The sequence below is a fragment of the Homo sapiens genome, chromosome 15, assembly GCF_000001405.40.
Source record: "Homo sapiens chromosome 15, GRCh38.p14 Primary Assembly".
Lineage (NCBI taxonomy): Eukaryota > Metazoa > Chordata > Mammalia > Primates > Hominidae > Homo > Homo sapiens.
In genome coordinates this window covers 51999487-52024028 of record NC_000015.10, presented here as the reverse complement: position 1 = coordinate 52024028, position 24542 = coordinate 51999487, and the positions used below count along the sequence as shown (strand labels likewise).

The 24542-nt window shown below is 44.6% G+C and overlaps 1 protein-coding gene and 1 long non-coding RNA gene across 12 annotated transcripts in view, besides 9 other annotated features; one reads left to right on the top strand and one right to left on the bottom strand.

Annotated features, from left to right (window-relative positions):
- Nucleotides 1–24542, bottom strand: part of MAPK6 (mitogen-activated protein kinase 6) — a 95551-nt gene that overhangs the window by 43347 nt on the left and 27662 nt on the right. For 3 of the 11 annotated variants that reach the window (XM_011521782.2, NM_002748.4, XM_047432855.1), the window contains exon 1: nucleotides 4653–4810. The gene's annotated coding sequence lies outside the window, so the exon portion shown is untranslated. Of the gene's footprint in view, nucleotides 1–2464; nucleotides 4811–19626; nucleotides 19765–24542 lie in introns of those variants that run through there. The other 8 variants (XM_047432847.1, XM_047432850.1, XM_047432849.1 and 5 more) reach the window with 5 other exon arrangements.
- Nucleotides 3750–3799: an enhancer, noted in NCBI's record as "active region_9415". NCBI's record gives its function as "activates an Ori minimal core promoter by ATAC-STARR-seq in GM12878 lymphoblastoid cells {active_cell/tissue: GM12878}" and the evidence as "EXISTENCE:reporter gene assay evidence [ECO:0000049][PMID:35858748]".
- Nucleotides 4050–4559: a silencer, noted in NCBI's record as "silent region_6443". NCBI's record gives its function as "represses an Ori minimal core promoter by ATAC-STARR-seq in GM12878 lymphoblastoid cells {active_cell/tissue: GM12878}" and the evidence as "EXISTENCE:reporter gene assay evidence [ECO:0000049][PMID:35858748]".
- Nucleotides 4860–4969: a silencer, noted in NCBI's record as "silent region_6442". NCBI's record gives its function as "represses an Ori minimal core promoter by ATAC-STARR-seq in GM12878 lymphoblastoid cells {active_cell/tissue: GM12878}" and the evidence as "EXISTENCE:reporter gene assay evidence [ECO:0000049][PMID:35858748]".
- MAPK6-DT (MAPK6 divergent transcript) lies at nucleotides 4934–13030 on the top strand. The gene is made up of 2 exons (NR_156732.1): nucleotides 4934–5330; nucleotides 12563–13030. It is a non-coding gene; the product is annotated as an MAPK6 divergent transcript (long non-coding RNA).
- Nucleotides 5140–5209: an enhancer, noted in NCBI's record as "active region_9414". NCBI's record gives its function as "activates an Ori minimal core promoter by ATAC-STARR-seq in GM12878 lymphoblastoid cells {active_cell/tissue: GM12878}" and the evidence as "EXISTENCE:reporter gene assay evidence [ECO:0000049][PMID:35858748]".
- Nucleotides 10216–10285: an enhancer, noted in NCBI's record as "active region_9413". NCBI's record gives its function as "activates an Ori minimal core promoter by ATAC-STARR-seq in GM12878 lymphoblastoid cells {active_cell/tissue: GM12878}" and the evidence as "EXISTENCE:reporter gene assay evidence [ECO:0000049][PMID:35858748]".
- Nucleotides 11943–12237: a silencer, noted in NCBI's record as "tiled region #7002; HepG2 Repressive non-DNase unmatched - State 6:EnhF, and K562 Repressive non-DNase unmatched - State 8:EnhW". NCBI's record gives its function as "represses a minimal TATA promoter and a strong SV40 promoter by Sharpr-MPRA in HepG2 and K562 cells {active_cell/tissue: HepG2 | K562}" and the evidence as "EXISTENCE:reporter gene assay evidence [ECO:0000049][PMID:27701403]".
- Nucleotides 12703–12997: a silencer, noted in NCBI's record as "tiled region #2333; HepG2 Repressive DNase matched - State 5:Enh". NCBI's record gives its function as "represses a minimal TATA promoter and a strong SV40 promoter by Sharpr-MPRA in HepG2 cells {active_cell/tissue: HepG2}" and the evidence as "EXISTENCE:reporter gene assay evidence [ECO:0000049][PMID:27701403]".
- Nucleotides 15454–15593: an enhancer, noted in NCBI's record as "active region_9412". NCBI's record gives its function as "activates an Ori minimal core promoter by ATAC-STARR-seq in GM12878 lymphoblastoid cells {active_cell/tissue: GM12878}" and the evidence as "EXISTENCE:reporter gene assay evidence [ECO:0000049][PMID:35858748]".
- Nucleotides 17206–17335: an enhancer, noted in NCBI's record as "active region_9411". NCBI's record gives its function as "activates an Ori minimal core promoter by ATAC-STARR-seq in GM12878 lymphoblastoid cells {active_cell/tissue: GM12878}" and the evidence as "EXISTENCE:reporter gene assay evidence [ECO:0000049][PMID:35858748]".

Here is a 24542-nt window from a genome sequence, read left to right as displayed (position 1 = left end):
AACGAAAATCAATGGGAAATTGTATTTGCTATACAAACATTCAATCTCTGAACAATTTTTTAGAAATGGACTTAGAAGACTGACATGTATAAAAGACAAAACTTTTAGAACTCTATTGGCTGGGCGCGGTGGCTCATGCCCGTAATCCCAGCACTTTGGGAGGCCCAGGCAGGCGGATCACAAGGTCAGGAGATGAGACCATCCTGGCCAACATAATGAAACCCTGTCTGTACTAAAAAAAATACAAAAATTAGCTGGTCATGGTGGTGCGCACCTGTAGTCCCAGCTACTCGGGAGGCTGAAGCTGAAGAATCGCTTGAACCTAGGAGGTGGAGGTTGCAGTGAGCCGAGATGGCGCGACTGCGCTCCAGCCTGGCAACAGAGGGAGACAGCGTCTCAAAAACAAAAAACAAACAAACAAAAAAACTCTTAGAGAGACACACATTATTTTCCAAATACGCAGTTCATGGAGGTGAAAAAACCAATCAATGCTGGACTAGGCCCAAATCACTGTCACCTTAAAAGCATCAGCTTCACATGAAAGCAACCCCTGGAAAATGCCATTAACTACAGTAACATTGGAGTTGTTTTTGTGAAGTCTCAGTCAAGGCTCTCAGCAATAAAAATGAGCAAAATTCCCACACCACTGGCAGGTTGTAGTGTAATGTTCAACAGCCCACAAAACAGGCTGAAGGAACTAATGAAGGCAGCCAACAATGCCACACAGAATTTACTTCTGAGGCATCTTCTTTCCATTTTAACAGGGGACCTAGAGTAACACAAGGTTCAAATGTAACAAAGAACTGGATAGCAGTGGTAAGAAGGCTCAGCATTTCATAAAGCAGTACCTTGGAGACAGGAAGCAGGCTAAGATATCCAGTTATTTTGTTTGTTTTTCGGTTTTTTTTTTTTTTTTTTTTTTGAGACGGAGTCTCGCTCTGTCACCCAGGCTGGAGTGCACTGGCACAATCTCGGCTCACTGCAACCTCTGCCTCCCGGGTTCAAGCGATTCTCCTGCCTCAGCCTCCTGAGTAGCTGGGATTACAGGCACGTGCCACCACACCCAGCTAATTTTTGTATTTTATTAGAGACGGGGTTTCACCATGTTGGCCAGGATGGTCTCGATTTCCTGACCTCGTGATCTGCCTCCTCAGCCTCCCAAAGTGCTGGGATTACAAGCGTTAGCCACTGCCCCCGGCCTCAGTTTGTTTTTAAACTCTGAATTATGCACTACAGCTAATTACCTATATTTGAAAACAATGCCGAAAATACGTTAAACCTCTAAGTAATGTGATGCTCTGAAAATTTTCAATACTTTTATATTTGTATTTTTATGTTTCCTCTAGTAGGAAATTTTTTTTAAGTTTGAATTAAACTTTGTAAAAAAAAAACCTCTAGGTATAAATCATGCAATACTCTTCCAAAATAGTTCCAAAAATTTAATTCACATTAACAATACATTTTATGGGCTGGGAGCAGGGGCTCACACCTGTAATCCCAACACTCTGGAAGGCTGAGGCAGGCAGATTGCTTGAGCCCAGGAGTTCAAGAACAGCCTGGGCAACACTGTGAACATTCATCTCTACAAAAAATACGAAAAACTAGCCAGGCATGGTCGCACACAGCTGTAGTCCCAGCTCCTCCGGAGGCTGAGGCAGGAAGATCACCTGAGCCCGGGAAGTAGAGGTTGCAGTGAACAGTGATCGCACCACTACACTCCAGCCAGGGTGACAGAGCAAGACCCTGTCTCACAAAAACAACAAACACTTTACTGTCCACAAACTCCTCAAATCCCTTTGGAAAAATAAACAGTATACACAGAAAAACCAGAGGATGGGGTGGGAAATTTTTTTTCTTTTATTTTAAAAATTGAGACAGGGTCTCGTTATGTTGCCCAGACTGGTCTTGAACTCCTGGCCTCAAGCGATCCTTCCACCTCAGGCTCCCAAAGTGCCGGGATTACAGGTGTGAGCCAACGCACCCAGCCCCACTCTTAAACTGCCATTCTCAATCTTTTTCCCCCTCTCAATCTTATTTTAAGCCACCTTGCTAAACGTTGGCTGTTTTAAAATCAGTCAAAAGATTTATCTTATTACCAAGTTTCAACTTAGAACTGTACATTCAGCTTATCTTTAAAAAAAAACCATGAAAAATAGTGACTAATACCTATTTCAAATTGTCTTTATTAAAACAGAAAATTCACATAAATCACAAAGCACAATATATAATTATGTTTTAATAATTCTGAGTGAAACTTTCATATTCAGAGCCATATCTGATTAAATATTAAATATAAAGATAACTTTCACATAACCAATAAAAACATAAGGTCAATTTCTACCGACACCATAAAAGTACTATCTGTCCTTTATAAACAACCTGTAACAAATCTCTCTCAGCAGTAGCCAAAAAACTGCTAGTATCAAACATTTAATTTCAGCACCTGACCAGAAATTGGTTTTACCTTTCCTCTCAGCAAATGTTACACAATTCCACCTGTAGGGTATATGATATCCTTTTAAAATGCAATTTAAGAAGCCATTACTTTTTTAGAGAAACTGCTGTTCCTCTTCAGAAAAAATGAGAGAGAATTTCAATGTGGACAGGAACATTTTAGCCTATCATTTAGAAAAAAATACAGTGTATTTAAAAAAAAAAAAAAAAAAAGCCACGTAGCAGTCCGTGGGCAGCATGAGTCATCATCCAACTCAAAACTTGCAGCAGCACTTGTAAGCTTCCTCCTACCCGACCCCCATCCCCTTCAGCAAAGTACCCTGAGTCAGCAAACCTTACTATTTTGTCAGTTATGATTCTCACGATGCTTTAAATGAATTTATGTAAAGCACTGCAACACTTTTAGTGCTAACATTAGTCTTTAGAATGTGTGCATTTTTTTATTACAAAATTAACTGACTTCAAATCACTCTTCTCTGGATTTTTTAATAACAGAAAGTAGCCAACGACTACTTCTAATCCTCTTTTGCAAATAAATGAATTCCAGAATATCCTCATATACGAAGTTTTTTCTAAAATAGTCTCCATTTTCCAGTGTTTTCTTCTCAACAGTAATACCTAGGTGATCAAATATGTTCTGCTCAAATCTGGCATATTTTCTAGATTAACTGCAATTACTGAATTCAGGACATCAATGAATAATTTTACAAGCTTAAGGCAATTCTTAATAAATGATGTAACATATGTGAAATGACTTTACAATCCCTGGCACATAGCAAACACTTCATAAACATGTTTGAACAACTACTATCTAAAGACAAAGTTCCTTTCACCCAATTCAAAATTATTTTTTAAACATTAAAATCTGATATTTCTATGAAGAAATTCCTGATTTCAGGGCCAGGCCCTGTTTGGACCCTACATTCTTCTGGTCAGATCATTCTTTCCATCTCAGTTTTCCAGCGTTAAAGAGGGAGGACATGTGCAATTGGAACTGTAAGAGACAGGCTAGAAGAATCAGCCATCAGAAAATTACTCTGAAGCTGCTTGCTCTTCATTGTATGGCGTGTTAATTTTTCCCCTTGACAAATCATCTGTATCCGTTAAAAAAAAAAAAGTCATTACTGAGACTGCATCTTTAGCAATGAACACGAATTCTGCCGTTAATACAAGTAGGCTTCTAATTCCAACTCACCAGTCCCTTTCACTGGACCTTTTCCAATGAACAAGCAAAAGAAAAAATAAAACAGGAAAGGAATCAAGAAGCTCCCGCTGCACAGAGATCCCCCTAACACCTAAACCGGTTGGGTCCTACACTCGCCAAGAAACAAAAGGATGCCAAAACACCTTTACTTTTCGACACAACTCACAAGGCGGACTAAAATGCACAGCAAAGTGACAAGGCCCTTTTTGGTGAACCGACAAAACAAGCTTTCATTTGGGCACTTTTACAGACCACCACTTAAGGTCCCGAAAGAAGCTAAGGAAAGACTGTAGGGCCGAGGGAGGAAATTAGGAATTTCGTCTCCGAGTTTTCAGTACCTCATTCATGGCAAGACTCAAAACTTGGGCGGACTTCAGGGCTCTGAGACGAGCCGGGTGAGCGCTGCGCGCTACGCCACTGGAGACTTTGCCCGGCCGGAGTCAGCTGAGGCCGAGTCACCGGGTGGGATGGGGGAGGAGACGCGGGAGCATTTCGAAAGGCAGCGTGCCAGTAAGGCGAGACTCCACGCCACCTCATGTTCCCCGGGCCGCCGCCCCTCGCTCGCCCGCCCTCCGGTCCGGTCCGGCTGGGTTTCGAACCCGCGGAGCCAGGCGCAGGCGGCGGGACGGCAGCAGGCGTGCGGGGCCAGGGAGCGGGCGCGGCCTGGCAGGGCGACCGGCGAGGGGCGTGCCGGGTGGGAGGGGCGCGCTGGCCGCCTGGCCGGCCCCACGCGGGGACCCCAGCCCGCCGCCCGCCCGCCCGCGCGGGGACGCGCCGGCCAGGCCCGAGCGGGCGGGCAGGCGGGCGAGCAGGGGGCGGGCGGCAGACCGAACAAAAACGCCTTTGTTGAGCGGCAGCCGCCGGAGGGTCACACACAATGGAGGAGGGAGCCGGCTCCGCCGTCGCCGCCGCCGCCGCCGCCGCCGGGCCCGCCGCGGCGCCCTCCCGAGCCGCCCCGCCGGCGCACCCCGCACACGTACACACACACACTCACGGGACTTCTCCGACTCATCGAGAGAGTGCGGGGCTCGCGGACTGCCCCCAGTGTCGGCTCAGGTCTCCGGCTGTGCTGGCGGCAGCGGCGTCTCCGAGGCTCTCGCTTTGCCGCAGTCGCCGCCATGTAACCCCGACCCGCGAGAGAGGGCGAGGAAGAGGGGGCGGGGCTTCGCGGTGCCACGCCCCCTCACGTCACAGGCTCACTCCACGGGTTCTCCCGCCCCCGCCCTGCCCAGCGCACCCGCACGCGCCGGAATTTCCAGCGCCCGTGACTGGGCTGCGCGCGCCGCGGAGGCGGTGGGAAAGGCACGCGGCTCGTCCGGCGTCTCCTGGGGGCTTTGCCTGCGGGCGGGCAGGGAGGAAGACAGCTGGGGCCGTTTGCTCTACTACCTGCCCTGGCATTAAGGGAACAAAGTGACCAAACCCAGTGCCAGCGTTTACTAAGCACCTACTACGTGCAAGGCACTGGGCAATCCGAGAGGAAGAGGCCTCAGTCTCCAGGAAGGGTGGACCTTAAGATGGATTGGCTGGAAGGCGACAGCCCGAGCACAAGACAGACGCGTTAGAGGCCAATACTAAGGTCATTCATTCTGCCAGAGTATGGAGGAAGGCTTTCAGGAGTGGTCGCCAAGGTGGCCTTTCAGCTGGATCCCGGAGGAGCGGATATAACCAGGAGGTGGGGAGGGTGTTTCTGTGAGCAAAGACTGGGAGGCCAGAGTACCTGGCTTGTTGCAGGAACTGGGATAGGACAATTTGAATTTGGGAAGGGATGCACTATGAAACGTAGAAAGGTGGATGGGTGCCTTCTTGGGCCCACTTGGCTAAAAGCAAACTTACATTACTTATCATGGCTTATTGAGTCCAAGGAGCCTTTTCAGTGTTTATGTGAAATTTAAGTATTTATGAAATTAGAGACGCAGGTCAGCATATTTTTTCAATGACTTCATCACCATCTTGCTGAGAACCAGACATAGAATAGCCCTTCTAGTCATTATTATGGGCATCTTCAAGAAAGAGGCAAAGACCACTTCAAAAAGATCACAAAGGGCCAGGCGTGGTGGTTCACGCCTGTAATCCTAGCACTTTGGGAGGCCGAGACGGGCAGATCACCTGAGGCCAGGAGTTCGAGACCAGCATGGCCAACATGGTGAAAGCCCCGTCTCCACTAAAAATACAAAAAGTAGCCGGGTGTGGTGGCTCACACCTGTAATCCCAGCTACTCGGGAGGCTGAGGCAGGAGAATAGCTTGAACCCCGCGGGGGGTTGCAGTGAGCCGAGATCGCGCCAGGACACTCCAGCCTGGGCGAAAGGGCGAAACTCTGTCTCAAAAAAAAAAATCACAGAGTAATGAAGTTAAGTGGTTGGGGTGAGCTTGAATGCTTTATATTTTTTAATATTTAAAACAACGTCAGCTGAGTACCAGGTGTGAAGAAGAGGTAATGAGTGAAAAAAACCAAGAGAAAGGGGAGACTTGTTCCAACCGCAGAATTTCCAGCTTCTGCAACGAGAGCTCGTACCTTCAGCCCCACTGCCTCTGCTCTAGGCTCTCCTCTGATCCTCAGGACATTTTTCCTCTCACTCTTTGAGAACTCGTTTACCTTCCTTTTCCATCAATGTCTGATCACCCAGAGAAGGTGGGAGAATAAATACCAAGCACTGTGCCTTCCCTCAAGGAGCATTTAATCCAGTGTCACTGCTGACTTCCTGTGGATAATGCAAAGTTGGCTTACAATAGTAAGGGAGACCACTAAATTGACAGAATCTTTGTAGCATTTCAAAAGGGTGTCAGGCCTCTGAGCCCAAGCTAAGCCATCGTATCCCCAGTGACCTGCACATATACATCCAGATGACCTGAAGCAACTGAAGATCCACAAAAAAAATGAAAATAGCCTTAACTGATGACATTCCATCATTGTGATTTATTTCTGCCCCAACCTAACTGATCAGTGTACTTTGTAATCTCCCCCACCCTTAAGAAGGTTCTTTATAATCTCCCCCATCCTTAAGAAGATTCCTTGTAACTCTCCCCACCCTTGAGAATGTACTTTGTGAGATCCACCCCCTGCCCCCAAACCATTGCTCTTAACTCCACTGCCTATCCCAAAACCTGTAAGAACTAATGATAATCCACCACCCTTTGCTGACTCCTTTTTCAGACTCAGCCCGCCTGCACCCAGGTGAAATAAACAGCCTTGTTTTTCACACAAAGCCTGTTTGGTGGTCTCTTCACACGGACACGTGAGACAAAGGGGAGGTCAAGGATGGAATAATTACAAGATTTGGGGGATCTGGTTTTTGTTTGTTTGTTTGTTTGTTTGTTTTTGAGACAGAGCCTCGGTCTGTCGCCAGGCTGGAGTGCAGAGTGGTGCAATCTTGGCTCACTGCAACCTCTGCTCACTGCAACCTCTGCTCAAGCGATTCCCCCGCCTCAGCCTCCCGAGTAGCTGGGACTACAGGTGCGCGCCAGCACACCCAGCTGATTTTTGTATTTTTAGTAGAGACGAGGTTTTACCATGTTGACCAGGATGGTCTCGATCTCCTGACCTGGTGATCCACCAGCCTTGCCCTCCGAAAGTGCTGGGATTACAGGCATGAGCCACCACACCTGGCCCAGGGATCTGGTTTAAGACTGGTTTTTCAGTGAGGGGTCCTGATTGGGTTTGGGACAAATTTGTGTTATAATAGTTTAAGGTGGGTGGGCAGAGGAGGGGGAGAGTTTTGAAGAGAGCCTAAAGGGATAAATAGTTGTTAAACTCAGTAGAACAGAGGGCTGTTTACCCTGATGAAGGCAAATTCTGTGAGTAACTTAATGAGATAAATGGATTTTAGGAAGTTCCTGAAACCACAATCAAGTTATTTGCAACTCCACCTTTTTAGGCAAGAGTTTCTTGGAATTCAAGTTATATTTATTGCAGATAGTTGAATTGTAAAGTCATGTCAATGTAGTTGGTTTTAGTTTTTTTGGTGTTTTTTTTTTCTTTTTTTGAGATGGAGTTTTGCTCTTGTCATCCAGGCTGGAGTGTAGTGGCACGATCTAGGCTCACTGCAACCTCCGCCTCCCGGGTTCAAGCAATTCTCCTGTGTCAGCCTCCTGAGTAGCTGGGATTACAGGTGTGCACCACATGCCCAGCTAATTTTAGTATTTTTAGTAGAGACGGGGTTTCACCATGTTGGGCAGGCTGGTCTCAAACTCCTGACCACCCGCCTTGGCCTCCCAAAGTGCTGGGATTACAGGAGTGAGCCACCATGCCCGGCCAGTTTTAGTTTGTGTGTGTGTGTGTGTGTGTGTGTGTGTGTGTGTGTGCGCGCGCGCGCGCGCGCGATGGAGTTTGGCTCTGTGGCCCAGGCTGGAGTGCAGTGGCAGGATCTCAGCTCACTGCAAGCTCTGCCTCCCAGGTTCAAGGTATTCTCCTGTCTCAGCCTTCCAGTAGCTGGGATTACAGGGCGCGCCACCACGCCCAACTAATTTTTGCATTTTTAGTAGAGAGGGGGTTTCACCATGTTGGCCAGGCTGGTCTTGAACTCCTGACCTCAAGTGATCTGCCCACCTCAGCCTCCCAAAGTGCTGGGATTACAGGTGTGAGCCACCACGCCCAGCCCGGTTTCAGTTCTTAATGCCATTCTGGGCTGGGCGCGGACTCACGCCTGTAATCCCAGCACTTTGGGAGGCTAAGGTGGGCGGATCACCTGACCAACAGGGTAAAACCCCATCTCTACTAAAAAATACAAAAAAAATTAGCCGGGCGTGGTGGCGTGCGCCACCCAGCTACTTAGGAGGTTGAGGCAGGAGAATTGCTTGAACCCGGGAGGCGGAGGCTGCAGTGAGCCGAGATCATGCCACTGCACTCCAGTCTGGGTGACAGAGCGAGACTCCCTCTCAAAAAAAAAAAAAAAATCCCATTCTGTGGCTATAAAAATTTCAGTGCTTGGCCAGATGCGGTGGCTCAGGCCTGTAATCCCAGTACTCTGGGAGGCCGAGGCAGGTGGATCACCTGAGGTCAGTAGTTCAGGACCAGCCTGACCAACATGGTGAAACCCCGTCTCTACTAAAAATACAAAAATTAGTCAGGTGTAGGCTGGGTGCGGTGGCTCATACCTGTAATCCCAGCACTTTGGGAAGCTGAGGCGGGTAGATCACATGAGGTTAGGAGTTTGAGACCAGCCTGACCAACATGGTGAAACCCCATCTCTACTAAAAATACAAAAATTAGCCGGGCCTGGTGGTGCATGCCTGTAATCCCAGCTACTCAGGAGGCTGAGGCAGGAGAATTGCTTGAACCCGGGAGGCGGAGGTTGCAGTGAGCCGAGATCACACCATTGCACTCCAGCCTGGGCAACAAGAGTGAAACTCCATCTCAACAAAACAAAAAAAGTTTCAATTCTCAGCATTTTTTCAAACTGCAGATTATGATCCATTAGTGAGTAGTGAAATCATTTTAGTGGATTACAATTTGCATTTTGTCTTAATAGAGCAAAAAACTAAATAAGAGAGCATTGCCCAGAAGAAAGGGCAAACATTGTTTTCTGCAACTTTTGTCTTGGTTATGTAACATATTTCAACAGATCTAAAAATGTCATTCATTATGAAACATGCCATTATTTTATGTACTATTAAGAAAGTGAAAACTCTATCAAAATACCTCATTGCTACATCCTTTTTTTTTTTTTTTTAGAAAATCTCACTTTGTTGCCCAGGCTGGAGTGCAGTGGTGGGATCATGGCTCACTGTAGCCTCAATCTCTCGGGCTCAAGCAATCTTCTTGCCTCAGATCCCTGAGTAGCTAGGACTACAGGCATGCACCACCACACCTGGCTAATTATTTTTTGTAAAGATGAGGTCTCACTATGTTGCCCAGGCTGGTCTCCAACTCCTAAGCTCAAGTGATCCTCCTGCCTCAGGCCTCCCAAAGTGCTGGGATTACAGGGATGAGCCACCGCACCTGGGCTAAATCCTGATTTCAGGCATTAAAATGGAGGAAATACTTAAAATTGATGACATATATAGTTTATATGAATGTGTCTATTGGGTCATAATGTAAAATGTATTTATATTTATTGCTAATTATTGTTGTGAGCTATGCTATTGCTAAAAGTTTGAAAGTCACTGCCATAGTGGAGGAATGCAGGAGAGAAAAAATAAGTACAGCGAGAGATAGATGAGTGCTTCCTGAGCAGAGATGCAAATTATTTGCGGTTGTTGGACTATAATGGAAGGAACAATTGATAAGAACCGGGGACATCAGGGAGAGAGAGTATTTGAGCTGGGCTTGATTCCATCGGGTAGTATCTGGAAAAAAAAAAAAAATCCCAGATGAAAGAATGTACAAAGACATGAGCATGCAGGGCACACTTTGGAAAATGGGAGAAGTCTGACAGGCCTGGGAGAATGAAGACAAGTTAGCACCAGATTGAGAAGGCCTTGATTACAAGGCCAAAACTTTTGGATTTTACACTAAAGAGAGTAGGAGAGGAACATAAAGGATACAACTAGTATTTTAGAATATAACACTGGCATTAATAGGAAGGGTAGATTGAGCAAGAGATTGGAGACCTGGAGCAGGTAGAAGAATCTATTGTTTTTTCTGCCCTGTATCCAATGTACGGTCTTCTGGTAACAATACTCCCACGTCCTCTAAGGAGCCTCCCCTTCCTGTGTAAGTAAAAATTGTTTCTGTTGCAAGTAACAGAGAAGCCAAACCAAACTGTATCTCATGAGAGAGACAGAATATATTCAGATGGTTATTGTACCTTTACTAGGTGAGGAAGGAGATGATAATACAAGAAAGATTATTGGGTAAAGTGGACTTGGTGAATGCTTAGATGAGTCAGAGATGTGTCTTAAGTCACCCAGTTGCTCCCACATTACCTCTTTAAGTTCCCTCTTTAGGCTTCTTGTTTTATCTTTTTCCAGTTAAGTTACCCTATGAAGACAAACTACCAAATACCTTGATTTTAAAAATGGATGGAAAATAGAGTTTCGCAATACAAACTACTACATTTGATGGTAAACCCTGGAAAATGTCTGATATAAATCATTAAAGACAGTATGTTAGGGAAGATGTAAGAGGTCATCATGACTTCTCTTCAAGTGAGTCATTACAAAGAAACACCACTTCCTTTCTTGATAGGATTATTACATTACTTAACCAAGAGGTTGGTCATTTCAGGAAGGCAAGACATCTTTGTGGATAAGATGGAGTGATGTGGGTTTAGATTATAGCAGAGAAAGGTTGATTCAAAGAGTGCATGACAGGGAATCTTGAGAGAGTTCTCTAGAAAAGCAATACAGATTTTCCCCTCTTTAGTCTTGTGTAATATATATATATATATATATATATATATATATATATATATTTTTTTTTTTTTTTTTTTTTTTTTTTTTTTTTTCCAGGCGGAGTCTCACTCTGTCGCCCAGGCTGGAGTATAGTGGCACAATCTTGTCTCACTGCAACCTCCGCCTCCCGGGTTCAAGGCATTCTCATGCCTCATCCTCCCGAGTAGCTGGGACTACAGGCACCCACCACCACGCCCGGCTAATTTTTGTATTTTTAGTAAAGACGAGGTTTCACCATATTGGCCAGGCTGGTCTCGAACTCCTGACCTTGTGATCCGCCCACCTCGGCCTCCCAAAGTGCTGGGATTACAGGTGTAAGCCATCGTGCCTGGCTGAGTAATATTTTTATCAATGTTTTGAGTTAAGGTACTTATTAAACTTAAGGGAGCTATAAAACATACAGTGTGATGGATTACAGGATGATTACTCAAAATCATTTCCATAGGTTGCAAAGAATCTTTTTAAAAAGATGACATTTGACTGCAATAAAGTACAATATCTTTGTTCAGAAAAATCATTTGAAAAGGACCAGGATTTGGGAGACTTGGCTTAACCTGGTAATGTGACAATAAGGGTAAAATGCAGTGTGAGCAGATGCCAAAAAAACGTAACAAAATAGAACAAAATGTGTGAATAGGAAACAGTGTCCACGTCCCAGGGGGTACCACACCTATGCTATTCAGCTCAAGATTTCTCAACTTATGTGTTCAAATACAGACACCACATTTACAAAAGCTACCACACATAGCAAATTAGAGTAATTCATTAGGAGACATTCAGGCAGGGTGTGGAAATCATGTTCTCTGAAAAAAAGATGTGAGAATTGGGTCTGATTAACCTGCAGAAGAGATTTGCTAAAGGGTTGTTGTGTGCAGAGGAGAGAATGGTTGCTCTGGATTTCAGATCTAAAACCACTGAGAGGGCTATTACGAGAGGCATTGGCTCAGCATAAGAAAGGATTGTTTTGGATATTGGAACTGAGCCACAGTGGACAGGACTTCCCTGGTGAAGTGAATGCTACATCACTGGAAGCATTCAATCAGAAAACAATGGCCACCTGTCAAGGAGGGTCTAAAAGGAACTGCAGAGGAGAGGAGGGGCCTACAGCCAGCTGATAACTTCCATGGTCTCCAACTTGAAGCTTCTGTGTGTCTGTTTATACTCTTAATTTAAAATGACTGCTCTCCTAGACACGGTTTATAGAAGAACACGTTGTAATTTGATTTGTAAATAAACAAAACAGCCTTCCACTGAAGAAATTCATTGCCAAGTACAGTTCATTCTCACAGTGGATTCTCATTATTTGTGGTACTTATGTTCTGTAAAGTGATCATGAACAGTAAATTAGTGAAAACTGAACCCTGCTCCTAGGGGAAATACAAGGCTAGGTTCCTGCAAACCTCTGGCACAACATTCTCATCAGCCAGTGAATATATAATCTTGTTTTATGTGTATTTCTGTTTCAAGACACCTTTTTAAATACTTATTGTTGATTCATTAGCACTGAACTCGCTGCCAAAAGCACTGTAACTCATGCCTGAATAAAGCTTATCTAACATGTATTTTCTCTGTAGGGCACTTCACAGCCTTCTGTGCTTAGGAACTCTATACAGCACTTCAGCAATAGATTTGGGGGCCACTTTAAACAGCAAAATCACCAACGGAAAGCAAAACATGTGATGGCTCGGCACAGTGGCATGTGCCTATAGTCCCAGCTACTCAGGAGGCTGAGACAGGAGGGTCACTTGAGCCCAGGAGTTTGAGTCCAGCCTGGTCAACATAGAGAGATCCTGTTTCTAAAAACAAAAAAATCATGGCACCAAATAGACCATGGAAAGGACACTCGTTTACAGTACGAGAGTTGAAACAAGAAGGCAGAATCTTGTCTTGTTTGGCCTCAGCTGGCAACGTTCCCGTAGGGTGACTCAAGTATCTCGTTACTGTGCATGTTCAAAAGTGACTACAAAGGTGCTATGACTACTTCGAGGTTACAAATAAGTTTCAGCAATAGGCAAATTTGCAAACAGAATCTGTGAATAATGAGGACTGACTATAGTTAAAGATTATGGAGAGAATGTTTTCAGTCAAAACCCATCAAACCTGTACATAAAGTTTGATGAGAGGCAGATCACACGAATGATTTTTGGAAATGCAAGACTACCACCTGCAAACAAAACTAGGATCCCACATTTAATTGGATGGGGCAACAAGAGTATCCCCTCCGCCAGGCGCGGTGGCTCACGCCCATAATCCCAGCACTTTGGGAGGCCAAGGTGAGTGGATCACTTGAGGTCAGGAGTTTGAGACCAGCCTAGCCAACATGGTAAAATCCCATCTCTACTAAAAATACAAAAATTAGCCTGGCCTGGTGATGTGTGCCTGTAGTCCCAGCTACTCAGGAGGCTGAGGCAGGAGAATCGCTTGAACCCAAGAGATGGAGGTTGTAGTGAGCCAAGATCGTGCCACTACACTCCAGCCTGGGCAACAGAGTGAAACTCTGTCTCAAAAAAAAAAAAAAAAAAAAAAGGCTGGGTGCAATGGCTCATGCCTGTAATCCCAGCACTTTGGAAGGCCGAGTTGGGTGGATCAGCTGAGGTCAGGCGTTCAAGACCAGCCTGACCAACATGGAGAAACCCTGTCTCTACTAAAAATACAAAAATTAGCTGGGTGTGGTGGCACCTGTAATCTCAGCTACTCGAGAGGCTGAGGCAGGAGAATCGCTTGAACCCAGGAGGCAGAGGTTGCAGTGAGCCAAGATCATGCCATTGCATTCCAGCCTGGGCAACAAAAACAAAACTCTGTCTCAAAAAAACAAAAAAACAACTTATCCTTCAGGAGAATGGTAATAGCAATCATTTATCAAGTTCCTACCAAGTAGCCCGTTTCAGGTAAACACTTTACAAACGTTCTATCATTTTCTCAGACTATGACAAATGGGATTTCATTGAAAAGCTGTAAGAAATTACTTAAGGCCAGGCACGGTGACTCACGCCTGTAATCCCAGCACTTTGGGAGGCTGAGGCAGGTGGATCACAAGGTCAGGAGTTTGAGACCAGCCTGGCCAAGATGGTGAAACTGTGTCTCTACTAAAAATATAAAAAGTAGCCGGGCATGGTGGCGGGCACCTGTAATTCCAGCTACTCAGGAGGCTAAAGCAGGAGAATCACTTGAACCCAGGAGGCAGTGGTTGCAGTGAGCCAAGATAGCACCACTGCACTCTAGCCTGGGCGACAGAGCAAGACTCTGTCTCAAAAAAAGAAAAAAAAAATTGCTTAAATATTTTAGACAAAACCTGGCTTTCCTTGTAATAAAATCAATTTCTGAGACAAAAACTATACATTTACTTTTTAAATAATGGTTATATAATTAAACATTTAAAAGTACTGGGAAATATCTATTGGAATAATTTTATAAAACCAAATAAATAATCCAAAGAGCCCCTCTAATTTTTCTGCTTTGGAAGTCAGAATTTTCTGGAAGCAAGGCAAATTTGTAGAAATGGTAGAATTAAACTAGTAATACAAAACTTACAGCCTCTCCCAACACACACATTTTAAGAGAAGCATAGAGAGAGTGACACTTTCTGGCTTCAGGGAAATTTAGTCCAAAGGTTTTCTTATTTGCATTCTGTCCTTCCTTCTATCTTGAGAGGCCCAATACCTTGAAGAGAACAGATACTCCTAATTTCTGGAGACAGTGTCCAACTTGAACCTCTTGAGACCACAAAGCCTTCTATAACTAGTCTCAGATTTTGAGAACAACCTGGGTCTCTGCCACATGACCAGAGTAAATAAAAGGAAAGAATAGACCGGATGTTTGTCAGCCCATGTGCAGGGAATGATAAATATTTTGAGTTGTGGAGACAAAGCAGCTTTCAACTCACAAGGTCATGCTCCTCCCCTTTGCACTTCAGTAGTCAAGCTATCCTGTCCTTTGAGGAAGAAGGTAATCACTTCCTCTAACTAATCCTGTACCCAACATTTGCTTTCACTGGTCATTCTGAGTGCTCCATTTATCAATTAGTATATCATATGGTAGGCTTAGTAGGTCTGCCTTCCACAATCCTGCCTCTCACCTCCCATTTACCACTTGATAATTACTACCACTGGAACTCCCTTCCCAGAAGATGTCATCATCCCCAGAAACTGATAACCACCTCTGGAGTCTTTATCTGCATTCATCATTGCCTCTGGCAATCCCCTAGGTCTGGTGTCCTGGAAGAAAAATGGCCAGGGGCTCAAGAGGCCTAAGATTCATCTGCCCATCCTGGCCTCACTCTAAACCTATGAGTGCCCATCCCATTCCCTCCCACAACCAGGGCATTACACAGGGCCCTGCGTGCAAAAGGACCCCATGCTTGGTTTAATGCTCTGCTATGACCATCTTGACATTCCTGATGATTTTATCTTTGAACTCGTGTTGTGTAGTGAAGTCAGATGTGGCAGTGGAGCACGCAGGTGAGCAGAGGAGATAGATGCAATAAGTATGTTCACTATTTCCTGCCACCCTGTTCATGTATAGTGTTCTCCATGACCCATGTGCACAGGATTCTGGTGAGCCCGCGGTGCATCAGAATTCAGCAAGACAAAGCAAATAAGTATTAATACAAGGTAAGCCTGTTTTGTCTACGGCTGAGTAAGTGGGGGTCCTGATAGTTCTGAGAAGTCATGTTTTCCACTGGAACCAGAACTTCAAACCGAAAGAAGGCAATGGCATTCTAAGACATAAAAGACCACGGTACCCTATCATATCTTTTCTTTCTTGTGTCACTTCCCTGTGTTAGCTGACTGCTTGTGCTGAGGACATTTCCTTTGCCTTTCAGTACTTTCTTACTCCTCAGTAAGTCAAAGGTGGAGTGTTAGTACAATGTGTGTGCATCAGGAAGTGAAATAAGGGCTGGGCACAGTGGCTCACGTCTGTAATCCCAGCACTTTGGGAGGCTGAGGCGGGTGGATCACCTGAGGTCAGGAGTTTGAGACCAGCTTGCCCAAAATGGTGAAACCCCGTCTCTACTGAAAATACAAAAATTAGCCGGGCGTGGTGGCAGGTGCCTGTAATCCCAGCTACTTTGGAGGCTGAGGCAGGAGAATCACTTAAACCTGGGAGGTGGAGGTTGCAGTGAGCCAAGATCACACCATTGCACTCCAGCCTGGGTGACGGAGTGGAACTCCGTCTCAAAAAAAAAAAAAAAAAGAGGTGAAATATCAGTTGAGGTAGTTTTGTGTAGTTTTTATACTATTCTGGTAATAACCAACTATATATATATGTAAGAGCTAAAAAATAGAAATTATGTCATTTTGGTGAGTCCACAAAGGAATTAATTTTTTTTTTTTTTTTGAGATAGAGCTCTAGCTCTATTGCCCAGGCTGGAGTACATTGGTGCAAACACAGCTCACTACAGCCTTGGCCTCCTGGGCTCAAGCAAATCCTCCTGCCTCAGGAATTAAATGATCTTATATTTGTATTTAAAACTGGCTTTGCACAGTATAAAAATGAATTATAACATTCATGCTAGTAATTTAAATTTTTCTTTTTTCTTACGTAGAATAACATTAAATCACATATTTAAAACACTGTAACAAGTCAAGAGAGAGAGAGCAGGAGGAAAAAAAGTTGTCTTCTTAACTAGCTTAGCAGCATTTTTATTTTTCTGCCTTTTGAACCAAAGGGCCCCAGAAATTATGTAGCCAGTCTTGCTAGAACCCCACCCCCCAGAAGATAGCCCTGAAGAAGGTGGGTCAGGGACAGACTCCCCACCTGCTCCCACTCCCCTCCCTGCCAGAGCTGGGACAGGAGAAGTGAGAATATCTCTGCCCTTGGGGGTAAGTGTCCAAGGCTGCCTCAAAGCCCAGCCGCCCACACTTGGGAGCAGCACTTCCTATAATAAACACACAGGCTTCATTACACAGGGAGGTAGGAAGTGGGGTAGGAAGGAAGACCTTGTTCCTTCTGGGGCACATTTTCCCATAGAAACAATGTCGTAGGTCACAGTTCTATAGTCTCAAAGTCAAGCTGCATATGGGCTAAATGGCCTTCTAAGAGTTGGCCTGAGAACAGAACCAGTATTTCTAACATTGATTCTCTGGGGAAAATACATTTTCAGTTTCAAACAACCAAGTTAGAAATCAACTTTTGGGAACATAACTCAGTCACAAGCAGGGACTGTCTGTACCTTCCTAGCTTAGAAGTGCTGAGACCACAGAGAAGGATGGTATTTGTTAGACCCAGGTAAACAACTAAATGTTAATGACGCTATTAATAAGTCATAATTTCACTTTATGCTCTGGTAGATATGAAGGGTCCAGTTCTTCAGATTTGCTGCTTGAAGAACTTGATTGCAGGTTTACCAGGGTTGATTGGCCCCTGGCAACCAACACATACCAACCAAGTTCAAGAGATTGTACCCTAGACCAGCTGCCAATCCACTAAGCACACAAGAATAGCTGTGCTGAGTTGTACTCATGATTCATCCCGGCTGATATTCTCACACAATGATTGTGAACTTCTGTGTTTTAGTCATTGTAAACTCTAGTGTTGAGCACAGTGTCTGAATGTAGTGGTTTCTCAAAAAAATGTTAGTTGAAAACGAAAGGTGAATAGGGGTTTCCTTCAAATTTCCCCTTATTTAATTCTACTTTTAAAGCAACTTTCTTCTTAGGAAATCTATTTGGTCATTTTAGTTACCTCTTTCTATGACCTGGTATATCTATTAAATACTAGACTCTTTTTTACGGTTTCCAGGGAGAATTAAATGCATGATTCCAGGTATAACTTCATTACCATTTTGTCAAATGTAAGACAAAATAATGCTTTCAGTTCTGTTTTCCACGTTCTTAGCAAACAGGCCTAGCATATTGTTATATGACTTTAGGAAACAGTCAACAATAACTCATGGGTCTCTTTCTTAGAATAAAGCACAGCTCCCAACTCATCTTCTTTTAAGTGACTTTAGACTAACAATACTAAATGCATTATTCCAATTCAGTACAGAATGAAACTCATTTGCCATATTTTTGTCCACTCACATAAGCTGTGTGAAGCTTATCTTTTCAATTTAGATCCATCTGCTTGGTAGTTACTACTCTGGAGAGCTTAAGGCCATTTCCTACATGGGCCTGCTTCCACACAGTCTATCACAGTTTTAAGTAAGACAAGTCCCCCAGCAGTAATCCTTGGGGGCTCCACTGTGAAACCAGAAGAATCTCTCTGATGTCTTGGCACCAACGGTAGTCAGCAGACCTAGGTGTAAGCCCCAGTTCTGCCACTTAGTTGTTTGATTCCAGGCAAGTCATTTAATCTCAACTTTAAAATGGTATAAATAGCACCTACCTCCCCTCCCTCGAAGGGTGGGGTCTGTCCAAGGAATACATGAGATAATGTGTGTGGAAGCACCCCTAAAATGCTAACCTACTCTAAATAAGGGGTGCTGTTAGTATCTTCAGCCAGAAGCTTGCCTGTTTAAACTATCATTCACCTAAGTTAAGCCAGATCTCTCTCTCTCTTTTTTTTTTTTGAGATGGAATGTCACTCTTGTTGCCCAGGCTGGAGTGCAGTGGTGCGATCTTGGCTCACTGCAACCTCCACCTCCCAAGTTCAAGCAATTCTCCTGCCTCAGCCTCCTGAGTAGCTGGGATTACAGGCACCCGCCACCATGCCTGGCTAAGTTTTGTACTTTTTTAGTAGCGACAGGGTTTTGCCATGTTGGTCAGGATAGTCTTGAACTCCTGACCTCAGGTGATCTGCCCTCCTCAGCCTCCCAAAGTGCTGGGATTACAGGCATGAGCCACCGCACCTGGCCCAGATCTCTCTTCATTCATTCAAGTCATTCAACAGATAGCCTTTGAGTGCCTATTTTATCCAAGATAGAACTTTCTCCCACCTTTTGGGGTAACTTATTTGGGGGGTTTTGTTTGTTCTTCTTTGTTTCCTCAGTGTTTAATGTGTAAATTGGTAAAGATATTTTTTAAAGTGTAGCGTTCACATGCTTATTTACCCCTCAAAGAAATGTCGTCCAACAGTGAAACATGAGGCATGCTCAAGCATGTTGCTGCAAAGGAAGAAGGTCAAACACAGTCTCTGCCTGCATCTCTCCACAGAAAGCAGGAGTCCCTTCCACGCTCAGCCTCAGAGCGACAGAAGGGAAAATCCAGAGTGGGGTTGCTATGGTTTGAACGTGTTCCCCAAAAAGCGTATGTTGGCAACTTAATCCCCAATGCAGCAGTGTTGGGAGGTGGGGCCTAATTGGAGGTGTTTAGGTCATGGGGGCTCCACTCTCATGAATTGAATCATGCTGATTATAATAAAGCTGGAAGCTTCAAGTTCAATGTCTTGCCCTCTGGAGATCGTTCTTGCCCTCTTGAGATCACTCTTGCCCTTCTGCCTTCTACCATGAGATGATGCAGCAAGAAGGACCTCATTAGATACTGTCCCCTCTTAGACTTCCCAGCCTCCACAACTGTGAGCCAAATAAATTTTTTTCCTTTATAAATTATTCAATCTCAGGTATTCTGTTATAAAAAGCACAAAACAGACTAAGACATGGGTGTAGCTGAGAGGGCCAGTGAGAAAGGGAAACAGGGGCAACTATATAACCCCTCAGATACCAACAACCGCTATAATAATAAATGGATCTACTTACATGAAAGCAGCTTATAGCAATCTCCTTTAATTAGCCCGTGGTCCTTTCTAACAAAGAAAAATCCCTTCCACTTTTAGAAGCTTCTGATGAAGGCTTATGGATACTGCTTCCAAAGGAAAGATAAAAGGCAAAGCATTCCTAGGGAAAAGGAGGAAAGACGTATTTGTAAAATGATTTAGCTGTACAGCAGGTTATGAAGGAGTGAAAAGGAAAAGATTAAAATGGTTCTTTCCCTCCTCCCTCTGTGACTCAGATTAATCCTAAAAATAATCTTCATCCCAGTATGAGACGCTTAGTAAAGACTCACATCTCCACAGACCAATTTTCATGATGGTCGTGGGGAGGAAAGGAACAAAAGGAAAAGGGAGATAGGGAACAGGAGCTACTAAAGGTAGTCTAGAAGAGACTTCACCTACTCAGAAGAGGTGAGGTGAAATTAAAGGCCAGTGTAAATGTGAGGCAATAAGCATTTTGCATTCTTGCCCTATTCTGAAGTCTTGGAATTATATTGCATCAGCAAAGATGAAACTTCAATTTACTGTTTCACTCTTATCTCTCACTAATTCTTCTGGCCATCCCTATTTTACTCATTCAAATGAATTTTCATCTCTTCAACATCATGCTCCTTTCTTTGCATCAGCAACAGGAGGCTCTTGACATTTTTTCAGTCACATTTAATTTGTGTAAGTCTGTCCATTTGTTTTAAAAGCATTTTATTTTTAAAGTTTTTCAAACTAACAGAAAAGTTGCGCACATAGCATAATGAATTTTTACCTGAACAATTTGAGAGTCAATTGCTGACATGATACCTGTGGTGGATGTTGAGATGCTTTGACCAGATCCCCCTCCAAGGAAAGACTTGCTGCCCTGCTGTGGGGACTGTGCTCAGCACACAGCTGTCAGCTACCATTTCCTTCCGGGTTTGCCTCATGTGCAGAGAGCTACCTTGCCCAAGAAGATGTGCCTTTTCTGGGTTGCCCAAATCTGATGACTGATCAAGGCAGAAGTAGAAAGGTGATATGGTTTGGCTCTGTGTCCCCACCCAAATCTCATCTCAAATTGTAATCCCCATAATCACCATGTGTCGAGGGAGGGAGCTGGTGGGAGGTGATTGGATGATGGAGGCGGGTTTCCCCCATGCTGTTCTCGTGATAGTGAATGAGTTCTCACGAGATCTGATCGTGTTTTTTTTGTTTGTTTTTTGGTTTTTTTTTTAAGACGGAGTTTCCCTCTTGTTGCCCAGGCTGGAGTGCAATGGTGCAATCTCAGCTCACTGCAACCTCTGCCTCCTGAGTTCAAGCAATTCTCCTGCCTCAGCCTCCTGAGTAGCTGGGATTACAGGCATGCACCACCATACCCTGCTAATTATTATATTTTTAGTAGAGACGGGGTTTCACCATGTTGGTCAGGTTGGTCTCAAACTCCTGACCTTGTGATCTGCCCACCTCAGCCTCCCAAAGTGCTGGGATTACAGGTATGAGCCACCGCGCCCGGTGATCTGATGGTTTTATAAGTGTTTGACAGTTCCTCCTTCACATACACTCTCTCTCTCTGTCTCACCTGCTGCCACCTAAGATGTGCTTGCTTCCTCTTCCGCCATGATTGTAAGTCTCCTGAGGCCTCCCCAGCCATGCGGAACTGTTGAGTCAGTTAAACCTCTTTTCTTTATACATTACCCAGTCTCAGGTATTTCTTTATAGCAGTGTGAAAACACTAATACAAAAGGCCTAGCTATTTTGCCCTGTCAGAACAACTCTGATGATCCACTTCCTCTGGAGAGATTCCTGTGTGGGGTTAACTGAGGCTATCAGCCTGCATCTCAGATCAACTTCACCCTCTGCCCAATCTTATTTCCTTTCCCTGCCATTCACAGATGTCGATCCCAAGGGCCCTCCCTAATAAATATCCTGTACACTGAAGTCCGTCTCAGGATCTGCTTCCTGGAAAACCCAAACTACCACAGTCAGAGCCAGGAGAGGTCTGAGAAAGCACAGATAAGATGGAGTTTTGGAACTGGGTCACTCATCCACCTAGCTGGTAGGGAGGACCTGTTACTGGTAATAGATGGAACCCAGATAACCCCTGGCAGAAGGTGGCGGCCAGGTACTAAAACTTTCACTAGTGGTGAACTGGGATTGTATACCAATGGAAGAGAATGTATTAGCTCAAGCAATATATGGCAGAAATAGTAATTCTAAGGACAATGGGATTATATGGTTATTGCTCACCTCTGTTGAAGCTCTAGGAAAAGAAACCAAAAGGCCGAGAGAGTAAACACCAGGCAACTAGAGCCAAATGAAAGCTTTCGCCAGAGGGTCTCTGGTAGCATGTAAAGAGACTTTCGTGACCTAAGGTGGGAAGGCAGAGAATGCTGAGGACAAGACCCAGACTAAATCATCAGTGTAGCCAAACTCCAAAGAAGATTAAACTACCAACCAAATTAGGTCAGGGTTCTGGTTGGGAAAGAGTGAGACTCTGACACATGGGACAGGGACATCTGGGTTGATGCCCCCCAAAATCTTGAATTCCCAGATTCCTCTTGACCCTCTGAGCCTACAGAATTGAGTCATTCTTCCCTATTAAGGGCTACATGCGGCCAGGAGTGGCGGATCACGCCTATAATCCCACCACTTTGGGAGGCTGAGGTGGGCAGATCATTTAAGGCCAGGAGTTTGAGACCAGCCTGGCCAACATGGTGAAACCCTGTCTCTACTAAAAATACAAAAATTAGCCAGGTGTGGTGACTCGTGCCTGTAGTCCTAGCTACTCAGGAGGCTGAGGCAGGAGAATCGCTTGAACCCAGCAGGAGGAGGTTGCAGTGAGCCGAGATTGTACCACTGCACCCCAGACTGGGTGACAGAGTGGGACTCCATCTGAAAAAAAAAAAAAAAAAGAAAGGAAAAGGACAAAGGTATACCATTCAATTCCCAGTTTTGAAACTTACTACAAAACTATGGTAATGAAAAGTGTGGTACTAGCAAAAGGATAGACCTACAGACCAATAGAGTAGAATTGAGAGTCTAGAAATAAACATGTATATCTATGGGTGTCTTAATTTGCTTGTGTGCTATAACAAAATACTTGAGACTGGGTAATTTATAAAGAACAGAAACTTTTTTTCTTGCAGTTCTGGAGGCTGAGAAGTCCAAGCTCAAGGTGCTGGTAGGTTTGGCTGTTTGGTGAGGGCTGCATCCTCTGGAGAGGAGGAATGCTATGTCTTCACATGACAGAAAGTGGAAGGCAAGAGGCTGAACACTGCATGAAATGTTTTTCATAAGGGCCGTAACCCCATTCACGAGAAAGGACCCCCTCATAGCCTCAGTCACCTCTTACAGTCCCCACCTCTTAATGCTATCACATTGGCAACACCTGAATTTTGGAGAAGACACATTCAAGTCATAGCAATGGGCAATGGATTTTCAACAAGAGTGCCAAAACAGGGAGGGTGGTAGGGGGGTGAGGGATAAAAGATCACCCATTGGGGACAATGTATGCTACTAGTGTGATAGGTACACTAAAAGCCCAAACTTCACCACTATACAATTCATCCATATAACCAAAAAACAACTGTACCCCTAAAGCTATTGAATTTTTTTTTTTTTTGAAATGGAGTCTCTCTCTGTCGCCCAAGCTGGAGTGCAGTGGCGTGATCTCGGCTCACTGCAACCTCCGCCTTCTGGGAGATTCCCCTTCCTCAGCCTCCCCAGTGGCTGGGACTACAGGTGTGTGGCACCATGCCCGGCTAATTTTTGTATTTTCAGTAGAGACGGAGTTTCACCATATTGGCCAGGCTGGTCTCAAACTCCTGAAGTTGCGATCTGCCTGCCTCAGCCTCCCAAAGTGCTGGGATTACAGGCGTGAACCACTGTGCCCAGCTATTGAAAAGTTTTTTAAAATGCCAGAACAATTATATGAGAAAAGAATAGCCACATGCAAAAAAATGAAATTGGACCTTATCTCATACAGTACACTAAAATTTAACACAAAATGGGTCAATGCAAGAGCTAATACTACAAAACTCCTAGAAGAAAACTTAAATTAGGCAATGGGTTCTTAGATACGACACCAACAGCACAGGCAACCAAAGAAAAATAGGTAACTTGGACTTCATATAAATGAAAAACTTTTGTGCTTCAGAAGACCCCATCAAGAAAGTGAAAACGAGGCCAGGTACAGTGGCTCACGCCTGTAGTGCCAATACTTTGGGAGGCTGAGGCAGGAGGACAGCTTGAGCCCAAGAGCTTGAGACAACCCTGGGCAACACAGAGAGACCCAATCTCTTAAAAAAAAAAACAAAATTAGCCAGGTACGGTGGCACACCCTTGTGGTCTCAGCTACAGGGGAGGTGAAAGCAGGAGGATCACTTGAGCTGGGAAGTCCGGGCTGCAGTAAGCTGTGATTGCAGCACTGCACTCCAGCCTGGCAACAGGGTGAGATCCCATCTCAATAAATAAATATAGGTCAGGCATGGTGGCTCACGCCTGTAATCCCAGCACTTTAGGAGGCCAAGACAGGCAGATTACCTGAGCTCAGGAGTTCAAAACCAGCCTAGGCAACATGGTGAAACCCTGTCTCTACAGAAAATACAAAAATTAGCCAGGCATGGTGGCATGCACCTGTAGTCCCAGCTATTCACGAGGCTGAGATGGAAGGCTGGCTTAAGCCCAGGAGGTGGAGGTTGAAGTGAGCTGTGTTCGCACCACTGCATTCCAGCCTGGATGACAGAGCCAGATCCTGTCTCAAAAATAAAATAAATACATAAATAAATAAAAAGAGGGAAACTAAAATAAAAAGGAAACCTTAAAAAAAGGAAAGTTAAAAAACAACCCAAAGCGTGGGAGAAAATATTTGCAAATAATATATCTGATAAGAGTCTACTAGCCAGAATATATAAAAAACTCTTCACTCAATAATAA